The sequence below is a fragment of the Homo sapiens genome, chromosome 19 (genome assembly GCF_000001405.40).
Source record: "Homo sapiens chromosome 19, GRCh38.p14 Primary Assembly".
Taxonomy (NCBI): Eukaryota; Metazoa; Chordata; class Mammalia; order Primates; family Hominidae; genus Homo; species Homo sapiens.
The window spans coordinates 21,146,025-21,161,173 of record NC_000019.10 but is presented as its reverse complement, the minus strand read 5'-3'; the positions used below and the strand labels follow the sequence as shown (position 1 = coordinate 21,161,173).

At 40.9% G+C, this 15,149-nt stretch overlaps 1 protein-coding gene and 1 pseudogene across 14 annotated transcripts in view; one reads left to right on the top strand and one right to left on the bottom strand.

The window, feature by feature from the left end:
- ZNF431 (zinc finger protein 431) overlaps nucleotides 1–15,149 on the bottom strand; it is a 54,014-nt gene that overhangs the window by 34,880 nt on the left and 3,985 nt on the right. For 4 of the 14 annotated variants that reach the window (NR_138052.2, XR_007066665.1, XR_007066664.1 and 1 more), the window contains exon 3: nucleotides 9,976–10,095. The exons of 9 other annotated variants lie outside the window; for them this stretch is intronic. The gene's annotated coding sequence lies outside the window, so the exon portion shown is untranslated. The remainder of the gene's footprint in view (nucleotides 1–9,975; nucleotides 10,096–15,149) is intronic. One more of the 14 variants, XR_007066666.1, reaches the window with a different exon arrangement.
- Nucleotides 10,716–11,586, top strand: RPL7AP10 (ribosomal protein L7a pseudogene 10; annotated as a pseudogene).

Below are 15,149 nucleotides of genomic sequence, written 5' to 3'. Positions count from 1 at the left end.
TTATTTAGAGATGGAACTTTGCTCTGTCACCAGGCTGGAGTTCAGTGGCATGATCTCAGCTCACTGCAACCTCCACCTCCCAGGTTCAAGAGATTCTCCTGCCTCAGCCTCCTGAGTAGCTGGGATTACAGGCACGTGCCACCAAGCCCAGCTAATTTTTGTATTTTTAGCAGAGATGGGGTTTCACCATGTTGGCCAGGATAGTCTTGATGTTTTGACCTCGTGATCCACCCACCTTGGCCTCCCAAAGTGCTGGGATTACAGGCATGATCCACCGCACCTGGTTCATCTATGTTTTGAATGACCATATGAAATGGAAGCAATTAGTTTATTTGAGTCACAAGACCTCCTCTTTGTCTTTCACCTAAGTACTAGGAAACTGGAGAAACTCTCATCTTGGTACCAACTAAAGTGACCTCTTATATGAAGGGAGTAAAAAACACAGGATTACTTCTTTCTCTTATACTGAGAGAAGCAGAATTAATCACTCTTGTCAGCCTGACACAGTTCTGCCCTGGACATCCTCAAATGTCTCAAAGATGCCTAGGTGATTGTGAGACGGTTCTTAGTGATCCACGGCTGAGGGCCCACTGATAAGCCAGGATGGAGAGACTCAGGCTGATTCTAAATAGAAAATGGAACTGCTCTGGTGGAGCTCCAGAACCTGGATCACCTATCCTGATTCATTCACTTTTGGGTAAGAGGAAGGACAAGAATACTCTGCTCCAGCATGACATTTTACACGTAGGTATAGTTGTGGTTGTCATGGCTCTGGATATTTTGTGGCCTTGATCTCTCACTCTTAAGATGCTTGTTTAAACTTAAAGATTCTGTCATCAGACTCTATTTACACCTGGAGCCTCTTACATAACTGTAACAGGTCATTGAACAAGATCTAAAAAGCTTAAAAAGCCACATTCTCAAAGCGGGGTTTCAGATGTCTATGTTGACATCTCACAATGCAGAAAATGCCTCCTATTGGTTTTCTGTATATTCTCAATCCAAAGTCTGGCCCTGTCTTGTGAATCCCAGGCAGAAGCAAGATGTTATGTGCAGATTCTAGGTGGGATCAACCTGGCTTGCATCCTTGGGTGTTACATCAAGTAAAGTACAATCAAAGGAAAAATCTCCTCATAGAGGCTGTTCTAGCATACTCTAAGTAATATGTCTACCTAAAAAAAAAAAAAAAAAGGCTGAGGCAACATGAATATAAGTAGAGAGTTCATTTGGGCCAAGTTTAGGACTGCAACCTTGGAGCAAAGATACATCCTCCAAAGACTGAACAATAACAACAGCAACAAAACAGAATCCCTGAATAGGCCAACAAGTTCCAAAATTGAATTAGTAATAAATAGCCTAATAACCAAAAAAAGAACAGGACCAGACAAATTTGCAGGTGAATTCTACCTGATGTACAAAGAGCTGGTATCAATTCTACCAAAATTATTTTAAAATACTGAGTAAAAGGGACTCCTTTTCAACTCATTATATAAGAATAGCATCAGCCAGGTGCAGTGGCTCATGCCTGTAATCCCAGCACTTTGAAAGGCTGAGGTGGGCAGATCATGAGGTCAAGAGATCAAGACGATCCTGGCCAACATGGTGAAAACCCGTCTTTACGAGAAATACAAAAATTACCTGGGTGTGGTGGCCCAGGCCTGTAGTCCCAGCTACTCGTGAGGCTGAGGCAGGCGAATCACTTGAGCTCGGGAGGTGGAGGTTGTGGTAAGCCAAGATCGCGCCACTGCACTCCAGCCTGGCAACAGAGTGAGACTCCGCCTCCAACAACAACAACAACAACAAAAAGAATAGTATACTCTTTTTGTATACTATATATATATATCATAATTCTATATAGAATTCTGATACCAAAACCTGGCAGAGATAAAACAAAAAATAGAAAACTTCAGTCCAATATCCTTGATGAACACTGAAGAAAACTTTCTCAACAAAATACTGGCAAACCAAATCCAGGAGAACATCAAGTTAATCCAGTGTGATCAAGTAGGCTGTATCTCTGGTATGCAAGGTTTTTTCAACATACAACAATTAATGAATATTATTCATCACATAAACAGAACTAAAGACAAAACCCACAAGATTATCTCAATAGATGCTAAAAACACTTTCAATATAATTTAACATCCTTCATGCTTAAAACCCTCAACAAACTAGGCATTGAAGGTACATACTTCAAAATAATGAGTCATCTATGACAAACTTACAGCCAACATACTGAATGGACACAAGCTGGATGCATTCCTCCTTGAAAACTGGCACAAGACAAGAATGCCTTCCCTCAAAACTCCTATTCAACACAGAATTGGAAGTCCTGGCCAAAGCAATCAGGAAAAAGATTAAAATAAAAGACATCCAAAAAAGAAGAGAGGAAGTCAAACTATCCTTATGTCCAGATGACAAGATTCTATATCTTCAAAACCCTACAGTCTCAGCAAAAAGCTGTTTAAACTGATAAACAACTCCAGCAAAGTTTCAGGGTACTAAATCAATGGCATCCGTTTACATCAACAACATCCAAGCCAAAAGCCAAATCAAAAACATAATCCCATTCACAACTGCCACAAAAAGAATGGAATATCTAGGAATACAGCTAACCAGGGAGGTGAAAGATCTCTATAACAAGAATGACAAAATACTGCTTAAAGAAGTCAGAGATGGCCAGGCCCAGTAGCTCACACCTGTATCCCAGCACTTTGGGAGGCCGAGGTGGGCGGATCATGAGGTCAGGAGTTCGAGACCAGCCTGACCAACATGGTGAAACCCTGTCTCCATTAAAATACAAAAAAAATTAGCCAGGCATGGTGGCATGTGACTGTAATCCCAGCTACTTGGGAAGCTGAGGCAGGAGAATAGCTTGAACCAGGGAGGCAGAGGTTGCAGTAAGCTGAGATCGCACCATTGCACTCCAGCCTGGGTGACAGAGCAAGACTCTGTCTCAAGAACAACAAAAGTCAGAGATGACACAAACAAATTAAAAAAACATGTTATGCTCACAGATAGAAAAGATCAATATTATTAAAATGGCCAAACTGCCCAAAGACATTTACCAATTTAATGCTATTTGTATCAAACTACCAAAACGCTGTTAACTAAAAAATAACTATTTTAAAATTTATATGGAACCAAAATGAGCCTGAATTGCCAAGGCAATTTTAAGCAAAAAGAACAAAGCTGGAGGCATTACATTACCCCACTTCAAACCACACTCACTAGAGGGCTACGGTAACAAAAGCAGAACGGTATTGGTACAAAAACAGACTCGCAGAACAAGGCAGCAGAATACAGAGCAAAAAAAAAAAAAAAATTCATTAAAAAGTAGACAAATGGCCGGGTGCGGTGGCTCACGCCTGTAATCCCAGCACTTTGGGAGGCCGAGGCGGGCGGATCATGGGGTCGGGTTTGAAACCTGGCCAACATGGTGAAACCCCGTCTCTACTAAAAAAATCCAAAAAAATTAGCCAGGCGTGGTGGCGCACACCTGTAATCCCAGCTACTCGGGAGGCTGAGGCAGGAGAATAGCTTGAACCTAGGAGGCAGAGGTTGCAGTGAGCCAAGGTCCCACCACTACACTCCAGCCTGGGACAGAGCAAGACTCTGTCTAAAAAAAAAGAAAAAAAAGTAGGCAAAAAACATGAACAGATGCTTTTCAAAAGAAGACAAACGTGGCTAACAAGCATGTGCAACAAATGCTCACCACTAATCACTAGAGAAATGCAAAAAACAAGCAAAAAAAGACCACAATGAGATACCACCTCACACCAATCAGAATGGCTGTAATTAGAAAGTCAATAATAGGCTGCATACAATAATCCCATGGCAAAACTCTGTCTCTACTAAAAATACAAAAATTAGCCGGGCGTGATGGCACATGCCTGCAGTCCCAGCTACATGGGAGGCTGAAGCAGGAGAATTGCTTGAACCCAGGAGGCAGAGGTTGCAGTGAGGTGAGACGGTACCACTGCACTCTAGTCTGGGTGACAGAGTAAGACTCCATCTCAAACAAACAAACAAAGACATAAAACAAAACAAACCTAACTGCCTATTAATGGTAGACTAGATTAAAATAATATGGTATGGTTGGGTGAGGTGGTTCACACTTGTAATCTCAGCACTTTGGGAGGCCGAGGCAGGTGGATTGCCTTAGCTCAAGCATTCAAGACCACCCTGGGCAACATGGCAAAACTCATCTCTACAAAAGATAGAAAAAGAAGTTAGCTGGGCATGGTGGTGCATGGATGTAGTCCCAGCTACTTTGGGGGCTGAAGTAAGAGGGTGCCTTGAGCCTGGAAGGTTGAGGCTGAAGTGAGTCAAGATTGCACCACTGCACTTCAGCCTTTGTGACAGAGTGAAACACAGTCTCCAAATAAATTAATTAAATAAAATAGAAGATTTAATAAAAAACAAAGTACGGTACATAAACATCATGGAAGATTATGTGGCCATTAAAAAAAAAAAACAAGATTAAGTTATTTGCAGCAACATAGATGATGCTGGAGACCATTATCCTTAGAAAGCTAAAGTGAAACAAAACCAAATGCATGCTATCATTTATAAGAGCTAAATAATAATAACACATGGACACAAAGAAGGGAACGACAGACACTGAGGCCTAGTTGAGAATGCAGAACGAAAGGACAAAAAGGATCAGAAAAAAATACCTGTTCGGTTTTACGCTTAGTACCTCAGTGACAAAACAATCTACACCAAACTCCCATGACACAATTTTACCTATATAACAAAGCTGCACATGGACCCCTTAACCAAAAAGAAAAGTTAAAAGAAAAAAAAAATCCATGCGTGGGGAAGAGTGCAATGTAGGTGCAAGGAGTTGTTTGTTCTACAGATGGTGGCCCAGGTGGGGCTGGACTCTGATTTATTTCTGTGTGCCTGTAGGCAGATGAGATTATGAACAGGTGGCCCAGAACCCTAGCTTGGTGGGGAAAACAGGTTGCTGTGGCAGATTCAGCGTCTGCATGTGGGGATATGCCAGGAGACTTGTAGACACTTTTGTGGGTTTTTGTCAAGAAACACTAAAATCAACAATGCTATAGTGAAATTCCTGAGGGTGGTGCCTAGTGCTGGGAGAGGTGTGGATACATCAATGTCTAGTGGGCATATTTGGGTGTGGGTGGGAATCCTGTGGTGGCAGCTTTGTGAAAAGGGGGTCTGTCATCAGAGCTCCTTTCCTTGAAGTTTTCATCCTCTTCAATCCTGGCAGGAGCCCTGGGATCCCAAGACAATAGGTAGTGTGAAAGCCTGTGTGCAGGAGAGAAGAGCCTCCCATTTGCAGACACTCATTTTATACCAGGACAGGGCTCTGGGATATCTTCCTTCTGCCACCAAATCTGTAGAGTTTGCTGAACACCAAGCAATTCTCAAACAGCAACTCAGTGTCTAACATTTCAATTCTGACACCACCCAGAGTCAGCATAGACCCTGATTCAGATCTCAGTCCCACAACATTGTCCTCATTCCAGATGCCAGTGACAAACCCCATAGGCTCATCTATGCTTCTGAGCTACTGTTTAAAAATTGGGGACTCCGCAAGGTAATTTATAGATTCAATGCCATCCCCATCAAGCTACCAATGACTTTCTTCACAGAATTGGAAAAAACTACTTTAAAGTTCATATGGAACCAAAAAGGAGCCCACATTGCCAAGTCAATCCTAAGCCAAAAGAACAAAGCTGGAGGCATCATGCTACCTGACTTCAAACTATACAACAAGGCTACAGTAACCAAAACAGCATGGTACTGGTACCAAAACAGAGACCTAGACCAATGGAACAGAACAGAGCCCTCAGAAATAATGCTGCATATCTACAACCATCTGATCTTTGACAAACCTGACAAAAACAAGAAATGGGGAAACGATTCCCTATTTAATAAATGGTGCTGGGAAAACTGGCTAACCATATGTAGAAAGCTGAAACTGGATCCTTTCCTTACACCTTATACAAAAATTAATTCAAGATGGATTAAAGACTTAAATGTTAGACCTAAAACCATAAAAACCCTAGAAGAAAATCTAGGCAATATCATTCAGGACATAGGCATGGGCAAGGACTTCATGTCTAAAACACCAAAAGCAACGGCAACAAAAGCCAAAATTGACAAATGGGATCTAATTAAACTCAAGAGCTTCTGCACAGCAAAAGAAACCACCATCAGAGTGAACAGGCAACTTACAGAATGGGAGAAAATTTTTGCAATCTACTCATCTGACAAAGGGCTAATATCCAGAATCAGCAATGAACTCAGACAAATTTATAAGAAAAAAACAAACAACCCCATCAACAAGTGGGCAAAGGATATGAACAGACACTTCTCAAAAGAAGGCATTTATGCAGCCAACAGATACATGAAAAAATGCTCATCATCACTGGCCATCAGAGAAATGCAAATCAAAACCACAATGAGATACCATCTCACACCAGTTAGAATGGCGATCATTAAAAAGTCAGGAAACAACAGGTGCTGGAGAGGATGTGGAGAAATAGGAACACTTTTACACTGTTGGTGGGACTGTAAACTAGTTCAACCATTGTGGAAGTCAGTGTGGCGATTCCTCAGGGATCTAGAACTAGAAATACCATTTGACCCAGCAATCCCATTACTGGGTATATACCCAAAAGTTTATAAATCATGCTGCTATAAAGACACATGCACACATATGTTTATTGCAGCACTATTCACAATAGCAAAGACTTGGAACCAAGCCAAATGTCCAACAATGATAGACTGGATTAAGAAAATGTGGCACATATACACCATGGAATACTATGCAGCCATAAAAAATGATGAGTCCATGTCCTTTGTAGGGACATGGATGAAGTTGGAAACCATCATTCTCAGCAAACTATCGCAAGGACAAAAAACCAAACACCGCATGTTCTCACTCACAGGTGGGAATTGAACAATGAGAACACATGGACACAGGAAGGGGAACATCACACACTGGGGCCTGTTGTGGGGTGGAGGGGGGAGGGATAGCATTAGGAGATATACCTAATGTTAAATGACGAGTTAATGGGTGCAGCACACCAACATGGCACATGTATACTATATAACTAACCTGCACGTTGTGCACATGTACCATAAAACTTAAAGTATAATAAAAAAAAAATTGGGGACTCCCAATGGGTGCGGCGGCTCATGCCTGTAATCCCAGTACTTTGGGAGGCCAAGGCAGGTGGCTCAACTGAGGTCGGGCGTTTGAGACCAGCCTGACCAACATGAAGAAACCCCGTCTCTACTAAAAATACAAAATTAGACGGGCATGGTGGTGGGCGCCTGTAATCCCAGCTACTAGGGAGGCTGAGGCAGGAGAATCGCTTGAACTCGGAAGGCAGAGGTTGCGGTGAGCCAAGATCACGGCACTGCACTCCAAACTGGACAACAAGAGCGAAACTTTGTCTCAAAAAAGAAAAAAAATGGGGACTCCCACAGCCTTCCTCAAGTTCAATAATTAGATCAAGCTACTCACAGAACTCAGCAAAACACTGTAGTTATGTTTACTAGTTTATTATAAAAAGTACAACCCAGGAAAAGTCAAATGGAAGAAATGTATATGACAAAGAAAAGAGGTGGGGAACAATGAAGCACATACATAATCTGGGTAAATAGCTGTGATTAATAAAATTCTTCATCCTTTGTGTTCTCTAGAAATAGTTTATGGAAAGAAACACCCTTCCCATTATGACTTAGATGGTGCTCTCTTTTCTTATTTATCACATAGCCAGACACAGACTCTGTCAGAGGTGTACTGAACCAGAGCAGCCTCTATTTTGAATAGAGGCTGAGTAAAAATAACGCTGAGACCCACTGGGCTGAATTCCCAGATGGTTAGACATTCTAACTCACAAGATGAGATAGGAGGTCAGCATAAGATACAGGTCATAAAGACCTGGCTGATAACACAGTTTGCAGTATAGAAGCTGGATAAAACCCACCAAAATTAACATGGCGATGAGAGTGACATGTGGTTGTCCTCTCTGCTACACTCCCACCAGTGCTATGATAGTTTATAAATGCCATGGCAATGTCTGGAAGTTATCTTAAAATAGTTGAAAAAGGAGAGGCATAAATATTCCACCCCTTGTTTAGCATATAATCAAGAAATAACCATAAAAATGTGCAACTAGCAGCCACTGCTCTGCCTATAGAGAAAGCCATTCTTCTATTTACTTACTTTCTTCATTAACTTGCTATCACTTTACGGACTCGCCCTCAATTCTTTCTTGAGCGAGATCTAAGAACCCTCTCTTGGGGTCTGGATCAGAACTTCTTTCCGGTAACATCTTTCTGGTAACCACAAAGGGACTATACTTAAGAGACCTCTGACCCAAAGGAAAATCATCTGTGTGCACCAATCGGCTGACTTTGGGTGAGTGGTGTGCATATGCCTGAGTAAAGGATGGGATTGGGTTAGAGGCACAACTTAGGAGAATTAGAGTCTCTCCTAAGACACAGTGGGTTAAAGGCTCCTCTTAATAAAAGACAAGGATGCTTGACTGAACTTGGATTTGAGGCCGAGCTTAGAAAGGTTATATTCCTTCCTAAGATTCAGAAAGTTACAGACCCCTCTCAGTAAAATCCGTCTCAGCTAAGAACTGGTTTGACACTATGGGACATTCATTGCTATTCTTTTTGGATTAATCTGTCTTGCACTCTTTGCTGATGGCTATGGGTGACAGAATTAGGCATCTACAGGACCATGGGACATGGGGATCTTTTTCTTGTCCAAAAGGGAAAACTTAAGTGTTAATGGGACTGTTGGGAAAAAAATCTCTTTCCTACCAAGAAGCGGCCACCTGAACTTTTTATTATCGCTGCAATGAGTAGGTCTTTCTCTGGACCCCTCAGCTCTTTGCCTTCCTACCCTGCCACAGACAATGCTTTTTCTCTCTTTTCTCTTTCTTATTTTATATTACTCAGAGTAACCATCTTGCCTAGAGACCAAAAGATAAAACTCCTGATTATTAAGTTGAATTAACAATGACAGGGCCCAACTGGGGCCAAGTTTAAGTCTTGCCAGTTTCATATTGGTTGTTAAGAAGAGTGGCTAAGGTCTATGTTGTCACATATATTTTGATCTGGCCAGAAAAAGATAATTTTTCTTTTTGTTGTGGCTTGGCCCACGGGGCTGTGGTGCAGCCAGCCACATCACTAGGGCCACTCGGGGAAATGGAACCCAGAAGCCTGGCATGCTGGCAAAAGTGTACAAATTTCTGACGAGACTTCTAGCCTCTCTATGCAAACTGATTGAATGAATGGTGAAAAAAAATACTGTTTATCTTCTATGTAAAGTTCTAATTAATATGGGAATGCATTTGTGAGGTTAGTCTTAAGCTGTAACAAATCTGTTGTACTTTGAGCTAATAAATTTGTCTTTCTGTATTCTTCTGTCATTAAGAGGGGTACCTTAGGATAGAATGCAGGCCTAGGACCCCTTAAGGCTGCTGTTCAAGATGGCTCAGAAAAGTGCTCAGTCATGGCCTTGGAAGCTCCACCTTGTGACCACATGACAGTATTTTCTCTTGGTCTCCACCATCATAATGGTGGCCCAGGTTCAGGATTCAATTCCCGGCTTAGGGAATGAGTACTTTCTTATTTGATATTTGGGTGAGCTTTACCATTTGTTGATTCTCTTCCCCTCCAGGAACCACCTTGAATTTTCTTTTCAGAACACCTGTGAAGTTACTTTTGGTAAAATTCAAAAGCCAGAGATATTGGCTGTTTGACCTGAATAAAGTCTGGTAATAAGAAATTTAAAAGGACTTTTTAAAAGAGCACTGATCACTGTGGTCATTGGCTCACACCTGTAATCCCAGCACTTTAGGAGTCCAAGGTGGGCTGATCACAAGGTCAGGAGATAGAACCATTCTGGTTAACATGGTGAAACCCCATCTGTACTAAAAATACAAAAAATTAGCCTGGTGTGGTGGTACTCGCCTGTAGTCCCAGCAACTCAGGAGGCTGAGGCACGAGAATCACTTGAACCTGGGAGGCAGATATTACAGTGAGCCAAGATAGCGAGCGCCACTGCATTCCAGCCTGGGCGACAGAGCGAGACTCCATTCCAAAAAAAAAAAGAAAAAAAAAGCACTGTGGTTAAAAGTCAGCTTAAGTACAGCAGATATTCAAGCTCTAACAGCCTGGGACACCTTGGGAAAAACAGAAGAGGTGCCGCAGGCCCTCTTTTGAGAAACACTTTTTCCTCATGAAACTCCAAAAATTGAAGGTGGATAGAGCCTTCTCAAAATCTAAGGTTCTGTTCGTTTTGCAATGCGTTATCTGATGTTTTTGACTTTGGGGGGTATCAGAAATTACTTCACATTATAAAAGAAACTTGGCATGTAATAACTAGGTGAGAACTATACTTTTGGAATGGCTAATGGCAATTATGGGGAAATACTCAGTTCTTCATATTTGGATCAGAGAAACATAATCTTGACCACCTAGGAAATATGGAGGTATCCCCAACCCCTACTGAGAAATAAGACTTCCCTTGGGATTAACTAATTCTCTCCTTTTTAGATCCAAGATCTGATTTAAAAATGGTACCCTTAATTTAGGAGGATCTGTTTTGTTTTCCAGCTCTGTTTACTTTTTAGGCCATAAAAACGACATGCTTTCCTGGCCCTGGGCTCCACGCTGAAACTAGTAATCCAGTTAAGAAACTGACAAAGAAGCTCTCCTCCCCCGACCCAAGATGCCAAAAGGAAAGAAGGCCTAGGGGAAGAAGGTGGCTCCAACCCCTGCTGTTGTGAAGAAGCAGGAGGCCAAGAAAGTGGTGAATTTCCTGTTTGAGAAAAGGCCTAAGAATTGTGGCACTGGGCAGGACATCCAGCCCAAAAGGGACCTCACCCGAAATGGCCCCACTATATCAGGTTGCAGCAGCAAAGAGCCATCCTCTATAGGCGGCTGAAAGTGTTTTTCTGTGATTAACCAGTTCACCCAGGGCCTGGACCACCAAACAGCTACTCAGCTGCTTAAGCTAGCCTACAAGTACAGACCAGAGACAAAGCAAGAGGAGAAGCAGAGGCTGTTGGCCCGGGCCGAGAAGAAAGCTGCTGACAAAGGGGACATCCTTATTAAGAGACCACGTGTCCTTCGAGCAGGAATTAACACTGTCACCACCTTGGTGGAGAAAAAGAAAGTTCAGCTGGTGGTGATTGCGCATGATGTGGATCCCATCAAGCTGGTTGTCTTCTTGCCTGCCCTGTGTCATAAAAGGGGAGTCCCTTACTGCATTATCAAGGGGAAGGTAAGACTAGGACGTCTAGTCCACAGGAAGACCTGCACCACTGTCGTCTTCACACAGGTTAACTCAGAAGACAAAGGTGCTTTGGCTAAGCTGGGGGAAGCTATCAGGACCAACTACAATGACAGGATGAGATCCGCCATCACTGGGGAGGGAAGGCCCTGGGTCTCAAGTCTGTGGCTCAGATCGCCAAGCTCAAAAAGGCAAAGACTAAAGAACTTGCCACTAAACTGGGTTAAATGTACACTGTTGAGTTTTCTATACATAAAAATAATTAAAATAATACAAACTTTCCTTCAAAAAAAAGAAAGAAATTGACAAAGAAAAACCTTACAACTACTGAATCTTCTGTCTTTGTATTTACATGTGTTGTGTGTGTGATATGAAAGAACTCTGATTAATTGGTTTAAAAATAGTAAGAGCGTAAATCAAATATTTTGTCAGAAAAGTTAAAAGTGTAACACCTTTTAGTTCATGTGACAAGTAATCTTTTGGAAATAAAAACAGTTTTAAAGATCATTGGGAAAATAAAAAGTCTTCAAAATATAAACATTTGATCTAAGTTATATAGGTCACATATTAGATTTACCAAATATTTCAAGGTCATAAATTGGCTCTTTGACTTTTAAAAATTGTTCAATTTACCTATCTTGAAGCCAGTAGATTCTAAATAAGGCCTTGAGACATATGGAATTAGCCATGTCCCCTACATATACAAAGGTTATAAAGAAAAGAGACTTTATATAAGAAAAGATGTTGTATAGTAAATTCTTATCCTAAAGTAAAATGACTGGTTATTTAAAAAGAGGGATGTTTAGGACAAATCAGAAAGCCCAAACATATTGTAGATGGTCTGTATAAGTCATGAAATAATTCACTGAAGGAAATTTATGCAAGAAATGTTGTACAATTTAAAGGTCATTAGGCCTCTTAAATTAAGACTTCTCAAAATGCCACTATGACTGTTCACTGTACAACTTGCCTGTTTTACAGCTAAGTAAGGCCTGGGACACATCAAGTTAGCCACACCCCCTAACTATTAATACACTGGAGTCAGACCTTATATACACTTGTGTCTGTGTCCTAGACTTCACTCCTAGTATGTAATTAAAATTCCTTACTTACCAAGGTTTTCATCAAAAGTAAAAGTTGCTAAGAGTTAACATTGTAACATCTAATTTTGACTACTAAAAAACAGTTTTACATGCAAGGAATTCAGAGAAAGTGAAATATGTTTTTGATAAAAGGTTATATAAGAAGACATGGAAATGTGGATTTTTTTGCCTAGATTAAAAGGTTAAAGGAATGTTTTAGATTAGATAGAATAAAACTGAAGGTTTAAACAAATTGTGGAAGATTTGCTAAAATTTAATTGCAAAAGAGATTCTGTGTGTCAACATACTGACTAAAGTTAAATAGGTATTATTTTTTCTAGAAATTGAACATTGAGATAAAAATGACAGACTTCTCTTAAAGCACTGATCTACTCTAACAACAAGGACTTTGTGAAGAGTTATAAAAGGTTTATGAGAATACTACCTTATGGTCAAACATTAAAATTGGATAGATTTGTCTATAAAGATTCATTAAGAGGCCGGGCATGGTGGCTCATGTCTGTAATCTCAGCACTTTGGGAGGCCAAGGCGGGCCGATCACAAGGTCAGGAGTTCGAGACCAGCCTGGCCAACATGATGAAAACCAGTCTCTACTAAAGATACAAAAAAATTAGCCAGGTATGGTGGTGTGCACCTGTAATCCAGCTACTCAAGAGGCTGAGGCAGGAGAATCACTTGAACCCAGGAGGCAGAGGTTCCAGTGAGCTGAGATCCTGCCATAGCACTCCAGCCTAGGCAACGGGGCGAGACTCTGTCTCAAAAAAAAAAAAATTAAAAAAAATTCACTAAGAATTGGGTTTGACATAAATCATACACAAATATAAAATAGTAAAAATTTGGCTCATTTAGTATTAAAATCACACAGAAAAGGCTGTCAACTGTGAAATCATGTTTGACTATTTTTGGACTATATTTGTGTAAATATGTTATTGGTATGTGTTCCAAAATTAAGGGAAACTCCTGTAATTCTAATATGACTAATGTAACTAATATGATAATATAACTATCCTCAGTCTGAGTCAACATGCAACCTTATTTTATGTCTCTTCTAAGAACATGCTGACTTCATGGTAAAACATCATTAATAATCACAATCGTTACATAAAATTATTATATGACACAGAGCTAACCAAATTTCCTTGTCAATCATGGTTTTTTTTTTTTTTCACTGTGACTGCCCTAAGACTTTGCCATCCAGACAATCATCTTGTGTTGGTACTCTTCAAAAGATGATTTATAGTTAACTTTGACAGATGTTCTATTTTTTTTTTCTTTTGAGATGGAGTCTTACTCTGTTGCCCAGGCTGGAGCTGGAGTGTAATGATGCAATCTCAGCTCACTGCAACCTCTGCCTCCCAGGTTCGAGTAATTCTCTTGCCTCAGCCTCCCAACTAGGCTGGGATTACAGGCGTCCACCAGCACATCCAGCTATTTTTTTTGTATTTTTAGTAGAGACAGGGTTTCACCATGTTGATCAGGCTGGTCTTGAACTCCTGACGTCAGATAATCCACCTGCCTTGGCCTCCCAAAGGGCTGAGATTACAGGCAGGAGCCACTGTGCCCAGCAACAGATGTTCTTAAATGCAAGTTTGTGATAACTTTAGAAATTGTGACATTAGAATAGAGAAAAAACATTCAGTATACATGGAGAACTGGAATGTTCATGACAATCAAACAGAACAGGAATTAACTGAAGGGACTGAACTAATGGAAGATGAAAGTAATACTTTTTGACTTCACATAAAATGTCACTGATCCTTTGTTTCAGGGTCAAGAAAACTGAATAGTTAGGCAAAAATATCATCACCCCTATTCAGCATGAAGTAGTTACAGAAAATGGATCTTCATCCCTCTACAACCCTCAGGATTAAGTGTGCCCTTGTGAAAAAGATGGGGGAGATGTCAGAGGAACCAGAGCACATCTATTTTGAATAGGGGCTGGGTAAAATAGGACTGAGACTGACTGGGCTGCATTCCTGGATGGTTAGGCATTCTAAGTAACAGGGTAGGAAAGAAGGTCAGCACAAGATACAAGTCATAAAGACCTTGTGGACAAAACAGGTTGCAATAAAGAAGTCAAATAAAACCTACCAAAACCAAGATGTGACGAGAGTGACCTCTGATTGCCCTCACTGCTACACTCCCACAAGTGTCATGACAGCTTACAAATATGGAAACATTAGGAAGCTATCCTATATTGTCTAAAATTGGGAGGCATAAATAATCCATCCCTTGTTTAGCATATAATCAAGAAATAACCATAAAAATGTGCAAACAGCAACCCTTGGGCTGCTCTGCCTATGGAGTAAGCCATTCTTTTATTCCTTTACTTTCTTTCTTCTTCTTTTTTTTTTTTTTTTTTCAGACAGAGTGTCACTCTGTCACCCAGGCTGGAGTGCAGTGGCACGGTCTCGGCTCACTACAACCTCTGCCTCCTGGGTTCAAGTGATTCTTTTGCCTCAGTCTCCTGAGTAGCTGGGATTACAGGTGTGCACCACCAAGCCTGGCTAATTTTTATGTTTTTAGTAGAGACGGGGTTTCACCATGTTGATCAGGCTGGTCTCAAACTCCTGACCTTGTGATATTTTCTTAATACTTCCTTTTACTTTACTGTATGGACTCACCCTGAATTTTTTCTTGAGCAAAATCCAAGAACCCTCTTTTGGGGCTTGGATTGGGACCTCTTTCTGGTAGAACTCTGCACATTTTCTTATTTTTCCAATTAAAAGAATCAGCTGCATTTGTCT